Genomic DNA, 17,279 nt, shown 5'->3' with positions numbered 1-17,279 from the left:
AGGAACTTGCTAGGAATTCTCATAGATGCAGGTAGTGGGCCAAGCCAGAGGGAGAGCTGGGGCTGACAGGAATCTGAGCCTTGACCCAGAGGGCAGCAGTGAGGCATGGAGGTCTCCTTAGTCAGCAAAGCAGCTAAAGACATCCTTCAATCACAGTCTAAAAACTCCAGCATCCGAGTCCTGGCCTGGGTAGTGGGAAAGATGAGGACAAATAGAGAAAACCATCCCTGCCATCAGAGAGACCCCATTCAAATGGGGGTTTTGCCTCCTCTATCTCCCATTCTAAAGGAATGTTCATGTGAAGGAGTGTTCAGTCCCTACCCTAGGGTGCCTGCAAGGCTCCCACCTCAAGGAGCTTCCTGCCTTCCAGAGCCCCCATATAATGTGATACAAGCATCAGCATTCTGGGAGTTCAGAACTCAGAGCCAGGGGGCCTAAGTCAAGCAGAAACAGAACATGAGGGCCTCCTCCATTGCCCTTTAGAGCCCAACTTAGAGAGTACCTCCTACAGGAAGCCTTGTCTGATTTTGTGACATAATTGCCTAATAGATTGCTTACATTCTTTACTCCTACCTGGCCTCCTGCAGTCTACGACTAGACCTTATTCCAGTACTAGTGTACGGCCTGGCATCAAGCATGCCCTTGATACTTATTGTTGAGTGGATGAATGGTAGGTGGATGGATGGATGGATGGATGGATGGATGGATGGATGGATGGATGATGGTGGATGGCTGATGGTAGATGGAGGGATGATGGATGTATGCATAGAGGAATGGATGGATGGATGGTAGATGATGGATGATAGAGGAATGGATAGATGGATGGATGGTGGATGGTTGATGAATGGATACATAAGGATATATGGTGGGTAGATGATGGATGCATGGATAGAGGAATTCATGGATGAATGGAGGAATAGGTGGATGGATGGATGAATGATGGATACTGGATTGATTGATAGATGGATGGATGGATAAATGGATGGAGGAAAGGATAGAAGGATAGATGATGGATGGATGGATGGATGGATGGATGGATTCATGGAGAAATGGATAGAAGGAGAGATGTTGAATGGATGGATGGATGGATGACTGGATGGATAAATGGATAGAGGAATGGATAGAAGACTAGATGATGGATGGATGGATGGATGACTAAATCAGGGGATGGATGGATAGATGGATGGATGGATAAATGGATGAAGAAATGAATAGATGGATGAATGGTGGATGAATGGATGGATGGATAGATGGATAAATAAATGGATGGAAGAATGGATAGATGGATGGAGAATGGATGGATGATGAATGGTGGATGGATGCTGGATTAATAATGGATGCTAGGTGGAAGAATGACTGATGGTTTACTTGTAGATGGGTGGCAGGAGTACCAGAGGCCAGAGTACAGAGAAGGACGTGAGTGGGCAATTGGGCAAAGACATGAGAATGGGTTTGGGAGGAGTAGTTGGGAGAGAGAGCTTGAACATAGACCTTCAACCTGAGGCATAGGAGAGAAGACTCAGCACCACATAAGCACTGGGGAAGTTTCCCCAGAGGGACAGTGACAGATAAAGTGGGGAGTTGGGGGAGTGGTGCTTGTCAAGAAGTGGGAGGGATGGCAGCTGGTCCAAGAGGGAGGTGAGAGCAGGTGAACTTCTCTCTGCATCTGAGAAATCACAACAGCATTGGGAGTGCCAGCCTGGCACCAGTAATTCAACCTTGGGTTCAAATCAAATACAGGACAACTGGACGGGAGAGTGGAGGCACCAGCCACAAGCTGAAAGGGCCTGGCTCTGGTTCAGTGAAGAACATGGACAGAAGGTCTGGTCCTGAACACATGAGTCCCTGAAACCCATCCACCCTCTGAGTGGAAGGGTGGGTCTAAGGGTGAGGAACCCCGGAGCAGGAAAGCATCTTGGCCTCCCTCACTGAGGTTCCCTGAATATCAGATGTTTAATCCACCCCTCTGCCTCTCTCCAACACCATGCTCCATGCACACAAAATGGGGAGCTGGAGGGAGAGCAGGAGTGTGTCACCAGATCTCTCAAGCACTCTCAGGAGAACCTCTCCAGCTCTGCTCATGTTTCAGCACAAGCAGTAAGTCCTGCCCTGAGTCTGACCTTTATTCCTCTTGGTGCATTTGTGAGCAAGGAAGCAGAGGGAGCCCAGTTTGAGGTCCCAAAAGACAGTTCTCAGAATTTCTTAGAATTTTTCTAGGCTAGGGAGATATCAAAGGATTTCTCTGGCTTCCATGGGACCCCAGATCTTGCTGGCATATACAGGAGCAAAGGATAGTACCTTTTTTTTTTTTTTTTTTTTTTTTTGCTTATGGCCTCTTATTTGTGATGCCAGAGCTGGCCATTATGAAGGTGATTAAATTTAAAGACACTGCAGTAAACTCCAGCCTACAAAAGGCAGCCAGCATCATTAACACGTAATTGGAAGCTAAGCTTAATGAGGTAAGAGAGAAAAAAATAATACTCCCAATCCCTTTTAGGATGGCAGCCCACCTGAGCTTCCACACTAGCACCTCAATAGCATACCCACGCCAGGGCCAAAGGGGAAAAACAGAGTGAAGACAGCCTCTGCCTTAGGGAGTTTACTGTTTATCCCTGCTCTCATCCAATCCTCCATTCAACTAAGTGTTTCACAGCACCCACTAGGTGCCTGCCTAGGCCAGGCCCCGGGGGAGGCAGGTGAACAACTGGATGAGGCCCCAGACACCTTGCTAAGGTCTGCAGGGAGGCTCATCTCCTAGCCTAAGCAGGACAAGCAGTGCAAGCCCCCAGGTGAGGAAGAGCCAGCAGCATGGTCAGACACAGACAGGAAGACCAGGGAGGGTGGGAGCTCCTGGGAGACCTTCTGGTGAAGGGGATGTATCAGCCTTGCAGAGAACAAAAGGCTGGTTGATACCATGAAATTAGATGCTCAGGGATGCTGGCTGGCTGGAGCCCAGCCCGGCCTTCCTGCCCCCTCCCATGCTGCCCCATCCATGCTGTCCCCAGGGCCTGCTTTTGACTCGTGGGGCAGTGCACCCCCACAGCTACTCCTTCCTCTGTGAGCCTGGGCAAGCCCCACTCTGGTTGCACATGAGCCAATCAGCTCAGACCGGCTTTCCCAGCATTTGTGGGTTTTAATAAGACCCTAAAAAATAAAAGCATGGCTTACCCCCAAGTGCTCTTTCCCTTTAATTTGGGGTTTCTAATATATATGTGTTTATTTCATGGCAATGAATGCTTCCACGGGACTTGCCTGTCGCTAGTGTTGTCTGATTTATTTCCTCTCGACGCTCTAAGAAGGATGCGGTTGTTAATAACAATAATGCCGCCCATCTTACAGCACTCTCTGCTTTTCGGGGCATTTTAAAATCCATTATCCTATTTAATAGAATTGTAGACTCACAGGGAAATTGTAAAGTCGGGGGAATTTGTCCTTGGCCACCCCTATGGCCCTCTCTGTGCCTGCCCCCTCCCTGGGCTCCCTGGCCTCCCTTCTGTGGGGGTGGCCCAGCCCTGCGGAGCCACTGTCGGGCCATACCCCACCTCCTGCGACCCAAGCAACAAGCAAGGGGTGGCAGAGAAAGCACCTTCCGCTCCTGGGGTGGGCGTGGGGCGAGCAGTCCTCTCGTAGCCTCTGTCCAGGGAGTGCTGCTCTCCAGAGGAGGGGTCCACCATGGGGAAAGAACTGGGGAGAGGGTCAACCTGTGGGCAAGGTGAGTGGGAGCTGCTCTCTTTCGTGTCTTACAGTGAGGACCAGGGGTGTGACTATCTTCCCCTACCCAGCACGAGGCTCCTGGAAGCCCAGCCAGCTCTGACGTAGGGGCGCAGGGAGGAGGAGAAGGTCCCCGCTGGACTCAGGACCTCTGCTTTCCACTGCCTTAGAGGTTCTCTCCTGTTGCCTCCTCTGTGGCTCTCCTGTTCCCCCTAGTCCCCCATCTCCTTCTGAGAGCACTGCCTATCTTCCCTTTCCGCCCTTGCCCTTCCATATCCCAGAAACCCACTTTCCTCCAGTGGCATCAGCCCTGCCCCAGAACGAATGCATCCTTCCCAGCAGGGTCCAAGGGGAACCAAGCACACTCTAGAGAAGGGTCCTGCCTCTGACCCCAACCCCAAAGGCAGAGTTCGACTTGAGTAACTCAAGACATGTCCCCAGGAACACACCCGTCTTCCTGAAAGCCCAGTCGCAAGCTCCTGGTCAGAAGCCAGATCTGTGCGCATTCATTTCATGTTCTCCATGTTCTCTCATCACCGTGTTCCCAGCTTCCCTCTCATTTCTAAGCCTCAGGAACGACCCCTCAGCTGGCACTAGCCCAGCCTGCCCTGCATCTGGGGCCAGAGCATTACAGTCACCCAGGGAGCTCGTGAGAAGCATCCCATGCCTGGGTCCCACAGACTGGTCTGGTTGGATTTGTCTGGGAAGGGGGATTTTCTTCCTTCTGTTTCTTTTTTCTTGTTTTTCCTTGATGCTCCCAGGAGGTTCTAAAATGCAGCCAGGGTTGGACTCCACTGAGGCAGTTTTTTGGGACATGTAGACCTCAGGGTCCTGCAGAAGCAGGAGGCCGTCCTCAGGCAGTCTTACCAGGCAGTGGACAGCCCCTGCACCTGCCAGCCCTGCTCCACCAGCCCAACCACTGCCTTCCTGCATCTCAGGATGCCTTTGTTTCCCTGGCCGCTCCCTTCTCCCTTTTTTCTCCTCACATCTCCTTTTTCTCTCTCTCCTTCTCCATTTCTTTCCACTTTTGTCTTGCCTTTTCTCTTCCTTTTTTATTTCTCCTCCTTGCTTTAGTTATCTTCCTCTGTCCTCCCTCCTCCACCTCCCCTTACCCTCTCCCCTCCACCCTCCCCTGTGCCCACTCCCCCATCCCTGGATGCTCCCTGCTGTGCCCCCTGCTGAAAGCAGACTCATTATTAACCCAGGTGTACCCAGAGGTAGGGAGGGGCTCTCCTCTGCTCTGCTTTCAAATTGAGCAGAGCTTCTCTAACAGAGCACATTGCAGAATTCATCCACTAGCATGAACTGAACTCCAGTTTACGATCCCAACCCTTGCCAGGCCAGAGGAAAACAGGACCTACCCTCCCTTGCACCCTGAAAGGTGAGCCTGGCAAGCACTGCAGGCTGCATTGTGGGGGCCCCAGGGCCTTGCCTATTTTCCACCAAGGTGAGGCCAGACCCCAAGATTCCTGCGTTCACCCAGAGCCCCACACTCCTGAGGATGATGGATTATGGCAGAACAGAAATGGAGGGGGGCCTTCCTGGGGTTCTCTCAAGCCCCCAGCACTGCAGACACGGAAGCCTTGAAGGCCAGAGGAAGACTGAGCTAGGACCAGAAGAGTAGGGGAGCACACCCAGGAGAGAGCAGAATTGCAGAAGAAAGCAAGAGGTGGGAATGGATGCAGGGTTTGCAGGGGCAGAGAAGTGGCCTGGCTGGGCTGCAGTGTCCCGGCTAGGGAGAGAAGAACACCAAGCCAGGCAGGGGCTTGGAGCGGATTACAGAAGCCTCATGTGCCAGGAGGGAGGACTAAGCTTGATCTCCTGGGGGATAGGAAGCCAGAGGAAGGTAGTTGGCCTCTTGAAAGGTAGATGGCCCAAAAGGGACATGGCCTGAAGAGGTGGGAGGCTGCCATTTGGGAAAGGGCTGGCCAGGCACTGCCCTTATTGAGAAAGGGTGAGGGCTGGTCAGGAAGAAAGAAGGTGAAGGCAGCCTGGGATGGATACTTCCAGTGCCCTCCTCATTAAGAAGCCTGGCTCTGCTCCTGACAAACCTGCCCAGGAGCCTGTGCTCAGTAAAAGAAATTGATTACTTTCCATTGCAATTAACATCTGGTCCCGGGTCACATCGTTAGGATAATTTGTTACAGGAAAAGCAAAGGAACTAGTTACCCAGTAATAAAGTTCTTGTGGACCCAATTAAAAAGGCCTCCTCCAGCCCATGGGGAGGGGCTGGAATGGGGAAGGCTCCCCAGGCCAGGGTCTGGGACCGGGGAGGACGGAGAGGGCAGTCATTAGAAGTAGATGCTTGGGGGTGGAAGAGTAGAGGAGTTGGCTGTAGCCCTAAAGGAGTTGGCTGTAGGCCGGCTGCATCCCACACACTCAGGCCTCGAGCTCCCAGAGGCCAGGTGGGCAGTGGTACAGGATACTGGTAGGAGCCAGGGCTCTAGCTCAGACTCAGTTTCACATCCTGCCTCTGCCATCTAGGGAAGCCTCTTCCTTCTCTGGGCCTCAGTTTCCCTCTCTGCAGTCTGGAAATATTAAGTTTCCATCTCACAGGGGTGGGGAGGGTTAAGTAAGCTATAGGGACCAAGCTCTTTGGACAGCATCAGCATCGGAGGTCAGGAAAAGCTGACTTTGGTGGGGTGGTTCAGGCATTTATCCCATGCCAGTGGGGGGCTCCCTAGGATGTGTCCCTGCCCCCTTGCTGAAGGAACCAGCCCTGAAGGCCCTGTGGTGACCTAGCTGCTGCCCTGGTACTGGCCCCGAGAGCCGTCCAGCCGGCGTCATCGCTTACTTCCTTTGGTGTTCTTCAACCCCATCACTGAGCACTTTTGTAAATGCCCCCCTCCCAACACACAAAGTTACCTTTGCAATTCATTTGTTTGCCAGGCAGGCAGATTTATGGCAGGTATCTGTATAAATATTTATACTCTGCGGCAAGGAGGTTTTGGAGGACGCATGAGCACACACACATGCACCCACGGGCTCTCATGCCCCCACCCCAACCTAGACACAGCTTCCCCTGCCTAGGCCAGCTGCAGCCAATGGAAAAGTGATTCTCACCCTATACACACACCCAACCTGAGGACACACATCACAGGCCAGACAGGCCGACACACCACAGGCAGACCGCACGACACAGACAGAAACACACTCATGCACACACCATGCTCCAACTGCAAGAGTGCCTGCTCACCTGGGCCCTGTCCCAGTATTGGCCCTGAACTACATGACCTCATAACCTCCTCCCACCATTTAGAGGATTGGAGGATGGGGCTGCAGCTCAAAGAGGCAGGGCCACTGGCTGGGAGTAGGAAGCCGGTAAGAAGCAGAGGGGAGATTTGAACTCAGTGCTGGGTAAGGACAATGCTTATCCACTCTGTGCCTCCCTTCCATGGGAGAAGGAACCGGGCAAGAAGGGACACGATGGTCTTCCTAAGGCTTTTCCATCAGAGACTGACTCAGAACAATGCCCCCACGTCTTCCAGAGTGCCTGGGAGTGCTCACCCTCTGTACACATGGTGGCCAGACCAGGGGAGCCCCTGCTTCTGCACACTGGCATGTCATTGTCAGTCTGCATATTGTCATTGTCAATATGCAGACCTGGCCACCCACAACAGGCAGTGAGCCTCTCAGTTGCCAGTGAAGTTACGGATCAGAGAGGAGTGGGCTCCTCAGGAGGCTTCCAGAAGGGTAGGGAATATGGATGTTCCAGCCCCAGCTGTGGAAGTTCGGAGCCGGATGTCAGAGTGGAGATGAGCTGCATGAGCCCCTGCACCAGGCAGTGAGGACCGCCCTGTGCACTGGCAAAGGGCAGCACAGACCCCAAACTCGCTGGGTGCAGGGCTCAAAGCCTCACCTCCTGATTCTACAAATTAGTCACATTGAGGCTTCAAAGGGCTGAACTAAGGAAGGGTGCATGGTGAGGTGGAGAGTGAAGAGGTGGGGACCTGCGGGGAACTTCTCTGCCCAAGCTGGGTCTGGGACACAGTAGCCACCTGTGATCTCAGTGGCTGGGCGGTGGGGTAGCCACCTTTCTGGCATGTGAATTGCTGTGGATTTCGGTAAAATGCCCACTCCAGTGCATCTCTCACCTCCTACATTATCCTTCGGATTTTTCATTTGGTGAGAGCTGATGTATGGTGACTCCTCACTCCCCAATATCATTATTCGATTAAAGCACATCTTTGAGCCAGCAACTGTAGATCATCTGGCTGCTGGGAGTCCGCAGGCAGCTTGACAGAGGCTGTGGTATTGGGAATGGGTCCTGTACCTGCCCACCTGGGCCTCTCACGTGCCTAGTGGGAGCACTCCCACGAGGGACCCCCATCCTCTGCACATTGCTGGCATGATGCCCTGCCTGGACAGCCTCCCTGGACCCTCCCCAGGCTGCTTTCCAGCCCCTCCCACTGTTAGAGTCTGAAACCTGGCAGGGAGGTTTTGGGACAGAGCCCACTCTAGACCTGGCTCGCTCTGGGCACATTACCGACCCTCCCTGTGCCAGTTTCTTAATCTGTAAAATGCAGGTCCTAAATGCTCCTCTCACATGACTGGGGTGAAGATCAAGTGGAAATACACACACCCGCTGGTCATCACTGATGCTAACCATCACCATTGCCATTAGCATGTTCTTTGTTCCAACAAAGTTCCCCAGGGAGCAGAGGCTCTGTCCTGACCATGCCCAGTGCCCCACCGTCCAGGGTCTCAGGTAGTGATGGGCCAGGATGGGCTGTTTGTGGTCAAGTCAGGTAGGTTGTATAAGAGCCTGGTCGTCCCCTCCACATCTGAAATCAGAAGGGCAGGGCTCTGGGCACATGGCTGCGCCTGTGAGACACCCTCAGTCGAGACCAGCTTGCTGATGCCCTGATTGATGGGAACCAGCAGTGAGAAAGGGCCAGTCTTCACCTGGCTCACATTGGAGCTGGCAGTGGCATGCAACAGAGAGTAGAGTCAGTGGCCCCAGCTCTGCCACCACTCACCAGGGCGGCGTCCACTCCAGCCTCAGTCTCTCTGGCTTGCCTTGGTGTCTCATCTGTAACATGGGAATCACCTTTTCCCTGCATGTCTTCCTGGCTTGTTGTGAGATGTAAGTGGAGTTACCAGGTAAAGGGAGTGTAAGGGTGTCGGTTGTTGAATGGAGTCTTCTTGGCTGAAATCTTTAATGATTGGGGCTCTTGTCCCTCCCCTGGCATATTCCTCACCCCAGCCCTCAACAGGTCACACTAATTCACATGCTAAGGCAGGACCCTGCCCCACCCAGAGAACATCCTTCTCTTTTTTTTTTTCAGGTTAATAAGTAAAAATTATTTTATTTCATTAAAAATAATCAGTATCTTATCTGGAGACTGGGTAATTATTAAACATATACCCAGTTGAGTCTCATAAGTAATAGCAAGTCATTTAAATCTATGCTGTGTTTGTTTATAAATGGTTGTTTCCATTGAAAATATATGGTTATTTTTTTCATTGTGATTTCTTGTTTTTTTATTATTATACTTTAAGTTCTAGGGTACATGTGCACAACATGCAGGTTTGTTACATATGTATACATGTGCCATTTTGGTGTGCAGTACCCATTAACTTGTCGTTTACATTAGGTATTTCTCTTAATGCTATCCTTCCCGCCTCCACCCCATCCCACGACAGGCCCCGGTGTGTGATGTTCCCTGCCCTGTGTCCAAGTGTTCTCATTGTTCAATTCCTACCTATGAGTGAGAACATACGGTGTTTGGTTTTCTGTCCTTGCGATAGTTTGCTCAGAATGATGGTTTCCAGCTTCATCCATGTCCCTACAAAGGACATGAACTCAGCCTTTGTTATGGCTGCATAGTATTCCATGGTGTATATGTGCCACATTTTCTTAATCCAGTCTATCATTGGTGGACATTTGGGTTGGTTCCAAGTCTTTGCTATTGTGAATAGTGCCGCAATAAACATACGTGTGCACGTGTCTTTATAGGAGCATGATTTATAATCCTTTGGGTATATACCCAGTAGTGGGATGGCTGGGTCAAATGGTATTTCTAGTTCTAGATCCTTGAGGAATCTCCACACTGTCTTCCACAATGGTTGAACTAGTTTACACTCCCACCAACAATGTAAAAGTAGAACATCATTCTCTTTCTAAGGCTCGGTTGTCTATGTTATTGTTCTTACAAGCTCCAACTGCACATTGAAAAGAAACCATGCACACATTAAGAAGAGTGTACTCAGAGCTGCTGAACTGCATGCATTCCCAGGCTTGTCATGTGGCCTTTCTGGCCCAAGAACCTTGTTCTTCCTGGGCCCCTGAGTCAGGCATAAGCCTCAGTCACCCTTGATACCATCCCCAGGGCCTGGGCACTGCTTAATGACTGCCCCAAGCCCTCTCTGGCTGTTTTTATTCCATCCTGGGCCAGCCCTGTGGTCACATTCACAGGGGTAGCCAAGGGCCTTGATTGCCCCCTCCCAGCTCCTGGTGGCAAGACCATGCCTCTTCTCTCCCTTTCTCAACAACGAATCAAGAAAGCCTACACTAGGAGCCTGGCATTGCTCAAAGGGCTTCTCTAGAAGCAGATCATGAGAAGCCCCACTCTTCAGTCTGAGGACATCTCTGGAAAGGAGGGATCTTTCTATCAGGAGAGGAGCTGCTACATTCCTGCAGAGAAGGCGCTGGGCAAGATGGCCACAAAGGGCTCATTTCTCCTCGAGAGTCCTTGCACATCCCCTGAGGCCAGGATCCCTGGGCTTCTGGCCAGTTATTGGTCCTAAGGACCCACAGAGCACCCTGGGGCCTTGGCCACCTGTGAACTGCTCCAGGGCTGGCACTATGAATTTTTCAGCTTGGTCCTGCCATAATCCACATTATCAATGACTTGGCTAAAGATAATGTTGGTTAGATTGACTGAATCTTCAGATGACTTAAAGCTGAGAAAAATGGTGCATCCCTTAGATGGCAGAAAAACAGTGCAACGAGATCTTAGCAGATGGACGTGATGGGTAGAATCCAACAAGACGTAGTTCAATAGGGAGAAATATGGGGTCTTTCTAAGGCTCGGGGCTGAGGATCTAAGTACAGAGGCAGGGACAGGCGAAGAACACAGCTGCTGTGCCCACGGGCAAGTGCTTCTCCTGACAGCTCAATAGGAGGCTCCAGCAGCATTTGGCTGCCCCGGATGGAATTGCACTTGAGACTGCTTGAAGACACGTGTGACATCCAGGAGGAGGTGTCAGTCACAGTCTGCTCTTTGCTGTTTCAACCAGTTCTGGGAATAATTGAAGAACTGGGTAAAAATTACACAAAAACTAAGTTCAGAGGAGAGTGGTTAGCACGCTGAAGGATTTTACATGATTGACACGTGACATTTGGTCACAGAGCCAGCATTGTGAAGCTGAGCAGGGCCAACTGCGAAAAGGGTCACTCCAGGGTGGTCCTAAGGAAAAGGCTTGTTTCTGGGGCTCGAAAAGACAACAGGAGGGCCACCTGCGGAAAGTACAAGCAGTCAGATTTTAGGCAAACATTAAAAGCATGCTACTTTTCATTGCTGTGCAAGGAGTATGTGGCCACTCTCGTGGGGTTAGATCATCATAGGCAGATAAACTGGATGCCTCAAAGCAGGGGTCACTAAGTGGGACTGTTGTCAGGATGTAGGGAGGCTGGATGGCCTCAAAGTTCCCTTGTAGAGACATCTGGGTTCTGTGATTCCTACTGGGTCTGGAGAAATGCAGGGCACCTCCAGCCTGCCATACCCCTTCTAAGTGTAATGATTCCAGTAACACCCAAGACCAAGGTGGGAAGAGTGGAGCCCTCCATTTCCGAGCAGTAGAATGGATCTATGAGTAACGTAAGCCTGGGGAAATGGCCCCCAACCAGGCAGCCATCCTCTCCTCCTTCCCCTCGGGCTCGGGAAAGCAGGACAACTAGTCCCTCAGGAGGCATAAAAGGACACTAAGGCCAGAGAACCTTTCTGGGATAGGACCTATTGGATTGGAAGCTGGGAACAGTCTGAGGGTCTCTTGCTTGCTGGATTTCTCTGTCCCTGTCCCTGTGGTTTCAGGCTGTAGGTACCTCTGCTTCAGAGGAATACTAGGCTGAGGCAAGCCAGAGGACTAGGCTGGGCTCTGAGGAGAGGGAGCAAAGGCTTTTGCAGTGTCAGCTCAGCAGAGGTGAAGAGGGGCGTTTCGGCTTTCTGCAGTTTGCACAGCCCAAGGCCCCAGAGCCAGGAGGAGACAGGCACAGCTCTCATGCAGAAGGCACAGTGCATGGGCACATTTCCTGGGCAATATCTCTTGGGATCTGTTGTGCTGGCTGGGCACAGAGAGTATGAACACAGAGATGAGCGTATGGCCTGGCCTGGCTGGAACAGAAAGTGAATGGTGTTAGAGACAGCAGTGATTCTACGAGAGTCACTGGGATCAACTGTGAATTCCAGTCCATAGGATTTAAAGTTAATTCTTTGGCACTGGGAAGCCATAGCATGTCTTTGAGCTGTTGAGTGGTGGAGTCAAGTGTAGGTGTAGCCCTATAAGCAACGAGGGCAGAGATGGTGAAACTAGAGAGGAAGGAGCAATCCCAGAGTGTCTAAAGAATTGTAAAATTATTTCAATGTGCCTGGCCCTTAAGTATACGAGGAGAGGGTGTGGACAGGATGCTGTTGAGGTTTCAGAAAACCCAGGAGCAATCCTTACATCCCTCACCCACCTGGGCAAAGGTGACATTTGGTCCCCAGAGCCACTCATAGGTTCCTCCAAAGACCCAGAGAGCCAATCCTCTAGAAGATACTGTAGCCACAGTGAATTGGGGGCAAGGAGGCACCTGGAGGCAATGACTGGGAGAGGGTTTGGGTCCCAGTAGACCCTGAGAGAGAGCCCAGCCTCCCGCTGCCCACCCCCCCACCATACACTGCAGTGTTCTGGGAGAGATAGTTATAGGTTTACATGTTCGGGTGTTGGGAGCCCCATGGTGGAGGCTGCAGATACGGAAAGGAAAAAGAGTTTTGGCCTTTTGGCTAATGGGAGGGCCTGGGGGCAGGAGGTTTCCATCTCCCTGGGGAAGCATCTCAAAATGAACCTTATTCAGGCTTGTTCCTTCCTCCCCTCCCCATTCTGGAATCCACCTTAGAGCTGCCCAAGCAAGCACTCAGCCCCCAGGAGGCCGATCCCCCGGAGGTTTGCAGTGCGCATGTGGTCATGTGTGCAGGCTTGTATGCACCAGGACCACACATCTCCCCCAAACAGGGATGCCCAGGTGTTCACCCAGGTCTTCATGTTTGCACACAAATGGTGCATGCCCACCTGCACCGCCACAGGCACAGACTGTACAGGTGTGCATGGGCAGCTCACTGGTGTGCACACGGGGCTGTTCCATAGGGACACAGGCTAGACAGACCTGGGCTCATTCACTCGTGTGGAAGGGGAGGAGGATGCTGTAGCTGCCTGCTCCTTGCACGCTGAGGTGACCCCAAACCCTGGGGTCAGGCAGGAAAAATGACTTTGCTGGCTGAAAGTGACAGAGGCTCACTGCCAACACAGAGAAGGAGGAAGTTTATGGCAGAAAATTGGATTTGAAATCAGACCAGGCCCCTGGGAAGAGGTTCAGTCAGAGACAGCAGCAGACAAGACGGGACAGGACCTTGGCATGGGCAGTGGGAGGGGAGGCCAGCCAGGAACCAAGCGGGAGGGAGACAGTGCCCTCCCTACCCCTCCCTGGGGAGCCATCAGGCCCCTGCTGTGTACATCATTGTGGGGAGGATCAAGGCGGAGGGCTGACAGGCAACAAGGGCTGAAGAGAATTCCCCCTGAGTTGTGGTCTAGAGTAGGGAGACGGGCAGGGAGGAGGGAAGGATGGGGCTGAAGAGGGAGATGGGGTCAGATGGCAGATTCCTCCACATTGTGCTCAGAGGAAACCAAAGCCTCACAAAGTTGGGCTGGGGGGCAGGGGAAGGCTGAGTTCTCGCCCGAAGGATTGATGAATACTTGAATGAATGCCTGTATCCTGGGACATATATAGTGTCACCATGCCCAGGTCTCCTCCACAGATGGAGTCACTGAGACCCAAATGACCCACAGGCTGTGTTCAGGTCGGTGCTGGAACCTGGCTCTTTATACCCAGGGCTGGTTCCCCTCCCACCTCCCTGGGCTGCACCGCACCATGCCGCCTCCTCTCAGCAAGCCCACCCTCCCCCTGACTCTGCTGGAAGATGGGCTGGGTGTGGGGGGTGTTAACACAGCCAAACAATTAACTGGAATCGCACAAAGGAAAGGTGGGGAGAGGGACACTCTTGGCAACGCAGCAGCGTTAGGAGAGATGGATGAACTTTCCCACTTCACCGGCGCCACGGAGCTGACAGTAAATATCAGAAGTAATGATATTGACTTTAAGGTATTATGGTTCCAAATGTCACTTGTGCTTTCGTTCTCTTTCTCTCTTTTAAGAAAAAAAAAAAAGAAAGAAAAGAAAAAAACACAGTCTCCCCGACCTGATTTGCATTTTTCCTTCCTCTGTTCCTCTGTTCCTACACCTGGGAAGGTAGAGACCATCCTGCACATTGCACCTTCCGGGCACCCAACACCAGATCTCATTAGGAAATTCAGCCGTGGCCTTCCTGTCCTTTTTGTCCCAAGCATCTTATGCAGGACAAGAAAGGCCTTCCCAGAGCATCCTTTCCCTCTGTCCTCCCCATCCCCACCCCTGCCCCAGCTCAGGAACCCACTGCTGCCTCCCAGGGCTGGGAGAATCAAGCAGAGACTCAGGAGCCCACAGCTCCTGGCCCCAAACGAACTGTCTCCAGTGACATCTCCCCACTCCCCCGTGTCTGCCTCCAGTCTGGCTGCTCCATCCTTCCCACCCCCTCTCTTTGACTAACACTGTTTCCTTTCTGTCCACCTGCTCCATGCTCTCCAACTCTCTCGTCACACCTCCTCCAGGTAGCCACCACCACCATCACCACCACCACCACAACCTGAGCCCTAGCTCCTCCTCTTCCTCCTGCAAACACCTTAGCACATTAACCCTGCAATGCCCCCTCCTCAGGTGCATGCTGGCCGCATAGCTTGCCAAGTTTCTTCTCCCAGATCTCACCTCTGAAGCCAGGTTAAGGCTTCTGGGATGCCAGCCTCCCCAGTCTCCCACTCCTTTTCAAGATGATCCCACAGAGCTTGGCTTTTTCAATGGTGTTTTCTGTAAATACCTCTTAAATGAGAAACCAAGAAGGGGCCACCCAGAAGAGGAGCTCCATGGGGCACGGGTAGATGGGTGGAAGCAGAGAGAAGTGAAGAGGGTGGGATGGGAGTGGAGGGCTCCACCCAGACAGGGAGGCTCTGGATGTAGTGGGAAAAATAGAAGCGTGGAATTTAGACAGGTCTGGGATTCAAATCCAGGTGTTCTGTGACCCCAAGGATGCTACTTACCCTCTCCAAGCCCAGTCTTCTTGTCTTCCAATGATAGTGGCGATGCCTCCCTCCCTGACCCTCCTTGCCTAATGGAGATCAGGGGCTTCTCATACAGATGAGAAACTCCACCTTCTCCCAGGCTCCATCTCCATGGGAACCAAGCCTCAGGTCCTACTGAGCAGGGAGAGGACCAGACAAGGGCCCCAAACCGGAGTGTGGGGAAGAATGGGGTCTGAGTCGGGCACACTGCAGCCCCTGCACCTCCCCTGACCGGATGAGCCACCCACCTCTCAGCCTCAGTGCTTTGCTTGCAAAAATGGAATAGGAGCCATCTAGTGGGACTTGTGTGAGGTTCGGAGTTGGCAAGTGGAGATGAGAAGTGAGGGCCTGGACACAGGAGAGCTGACATCTGGGTGTGACTTGAGTGTCTTTGTGGATGTTACACATAACTACAGTGACAGTGAAGACCTGGCCACACTGCTGCTCTGTGCTATAGCAGCTTTCTGGGTCTGCGCTATAGCTTTTCCAGCCCCAGCCCTACCCTGTTGAGTGCCTCGAGATCTGGTTTGGGGAAGCAGAGACCATCCTCCTCAGCATGGTGTACACAGAGAAGAACATGGTGGTAGATACCGCTTCTCCTTTGTGAACATCTCCAGTGACAGAGATCATGGCCTTTTCAAGATGCTGTATTCCATGGTCAGTCTTAAAAGCTAGAAAGTTCTTCCTTAGGCTGACCTAAAGCCTGCCTCCCTCTAAATTCCTACTGAAACTTCCAGGTCATGTTCACACAAAGGGTCAATAGGGGGCCCTTGTTCCTGATCACTCAATTGATTATTTGGGCCCATAGGCAGGATTTTACTATTGTAAAGTATGAACACTATGTCCATATTGTACTATGTCCATCATCTTTCAAGAGTTGATCTGGTGTCCGGCTGTTGCCTTAGTTTTAAATTTGCCCCATCCCAGGCCGGGTGCGGTGGTTCACACCTGTAATCCCAGCACTTTGGGAGGCCAAGGCGGGCGGATCACCTGAGGTCAGGAGTTCGAGACCAGTCTGACCAACATGGTGAAACCTGGTCTCTACTAAAAATACAAAAATTAGCCGAGTGTGGCGGTGGATGCCTGTAATCCCAACCACTCAGGAGGTTGAGGCAGGAGAATCGCTTGAACCCAGGAGGCAGAAGTTGCAGTGAGCCGAGATAGCATGATTGCACTCCAGCCTGGGTGACAGAACAAGACTCCATCTCAAAAAAAAAAAAAAAAAAAAAATTGCCCCATCCGCCTTCAGGGATCTGTGAAGAAATTCTCTCCTCTGCCTCATCCAGGTCCCACCCCAGCCCTTGGCTCCTAGCCTCAATTCACAGGGGGTGGGCGACATGCTTCTCCCTTCGAATGAGGTTTCATTATGTTCACTCCATCGGGCTTGGTAGAAGGGTATTCAGAAAGGGCTCAATCAACTCTCCATTGCCCAACTTTGAGGGTGCTTGAGACCCACACTGCTATCTTCTGTGGGCTACTCTCCTGCTCAAGAATCTGCAGCTGCTGCCTGTTGTCTTTGTGTTGAGCCTTCAAAGCCCTTGGTATTCTAGCCTTACTCTTCCTCTCCCTTTAAAGTCCCTTTTGCTCAGCATCCACCCCTTACTTCAGTAAAATCATTCTCTGCTGTTGCCCATCCTATCCTATAAATCATTCTCCCAGCAACCTCTCCCATCATTGCTATCTTCCCAAATCTTCCTCCTCCTTTAAGACCCAGCCAGATTCTCACCACCCCAGGAGACTTCTTGTAACTGCCCTGGTCCCTGCTGACCTTCCGTCTCTCCTACCTCCTCTAGCACCCGTTGTCTGCCCGTCTTGAGCTCCATAGTCACTGCTACAGCCTTCCCTGACCCTCCTTCCAGTCTACAGAGGGCAGAGGTTCTGTCTTCTGTTCTTTCTATTTTCCCATACCCCATCACTGAACTGCATAGAAATCATTCATATTTAGCTTTGGAATACCTTATGATGAGAGCATTTGAGTATGGTTCTACTTATAAGCAGTCTGTTTCTCTTCCTAATTCTCAGTTCTTTAGGACTAACCAGAAAAGACTGGGCAAATCCTCTCCATGGACTGAGCAGACACCTGGGCCTGGTGGATAGTATGCACTGCTGAGTTCGGGGTCCCCAGGGAGATGGAGCCCCAAGAGAAACCCCATCCAGGC

At 51.9% G+C, this 17,279-nt stretch overlaps 1 protein-coding gene across 125 annotated transcripts in view, besides 3 other annotated features; it reads left to right on the top strand.

Moving 5' to 3' along the window:
- CELF4 (CUGBP Elav-like family member 4) overlaps positions 1-17,279 on the top strand; it is a 322,955-nt gene that overhangs the window by 183,967 nt on the left and 121,709 nt on the right. The window lies entirely within an intron of this gene.
- Positions 7,506-8,292: an enhancer, noted in NCBI's record as "H3K4me1 hESC enhancer chr18:34953503-34954289 (GRCh37/hg19 assembly coordinates)". NCBI's record gives its function as "activates a minimal SCP1, AML or CMV promoter by ChIP-STARR-seq in naive H9 embryonic stem cells {active_cell/tissue: H9 hESC(naive)}" and the evidence as "EXISTENCE:reporter gene assay evidence [ECO:0000049][PMID:30033119]".
- Positions 8,293-9,081: an enhancer, noted in NCBI's record as "H3K4me1 hESC enhancer chr18:34952714-34953502 (GRCh37/hg19 assembly coordinates)". NCBI's record gives its function as "activates a minimal SCP1, AML or CMV promoter by ChIP-STARR-seq in naive H9 embryonic stem cells {active_cell/tissue: H9 hESC(naive)}" and the evidence as "EXISTENCE:reporter gene assay evidence [ECO:0000049][PMID:30033119]".
- Positions 12,720-13,540: an enhancer, noted in NCBI's record as "H3K4me1 hESC enhancer chr18:34948255-34949075 (GRCh37/hg19 assembly coordinates)". NCBI's record gives its function as "activates a minimal SCP1, AML or CMV promoter by ChIP-STARR-seq in naive H9 embryonic stem cells {active_cell/tissue: H9 hESC(naive)}" and the evidence as "EXISTENCE:reporter gene assay evidence [ECO:0000049][PMID:30033119]".

The sequence above is a fragment of the Homo sapiens genome, chromosome 18 (assembly GCF_000001405.40).
Source record: "Homo sapiens chromosome 18, GRCh38.p14 Primary Assembly".
Taxonomy (NCBI): domain Eukaryota; kingdom Metazoa; phylum Chordata; class Mammalia; order Primates; family Hominidae; genus Homo; species Homo sapiens.
This window is presented reverse-complemented; position numbering and strand designations above follow the sequence as displayed.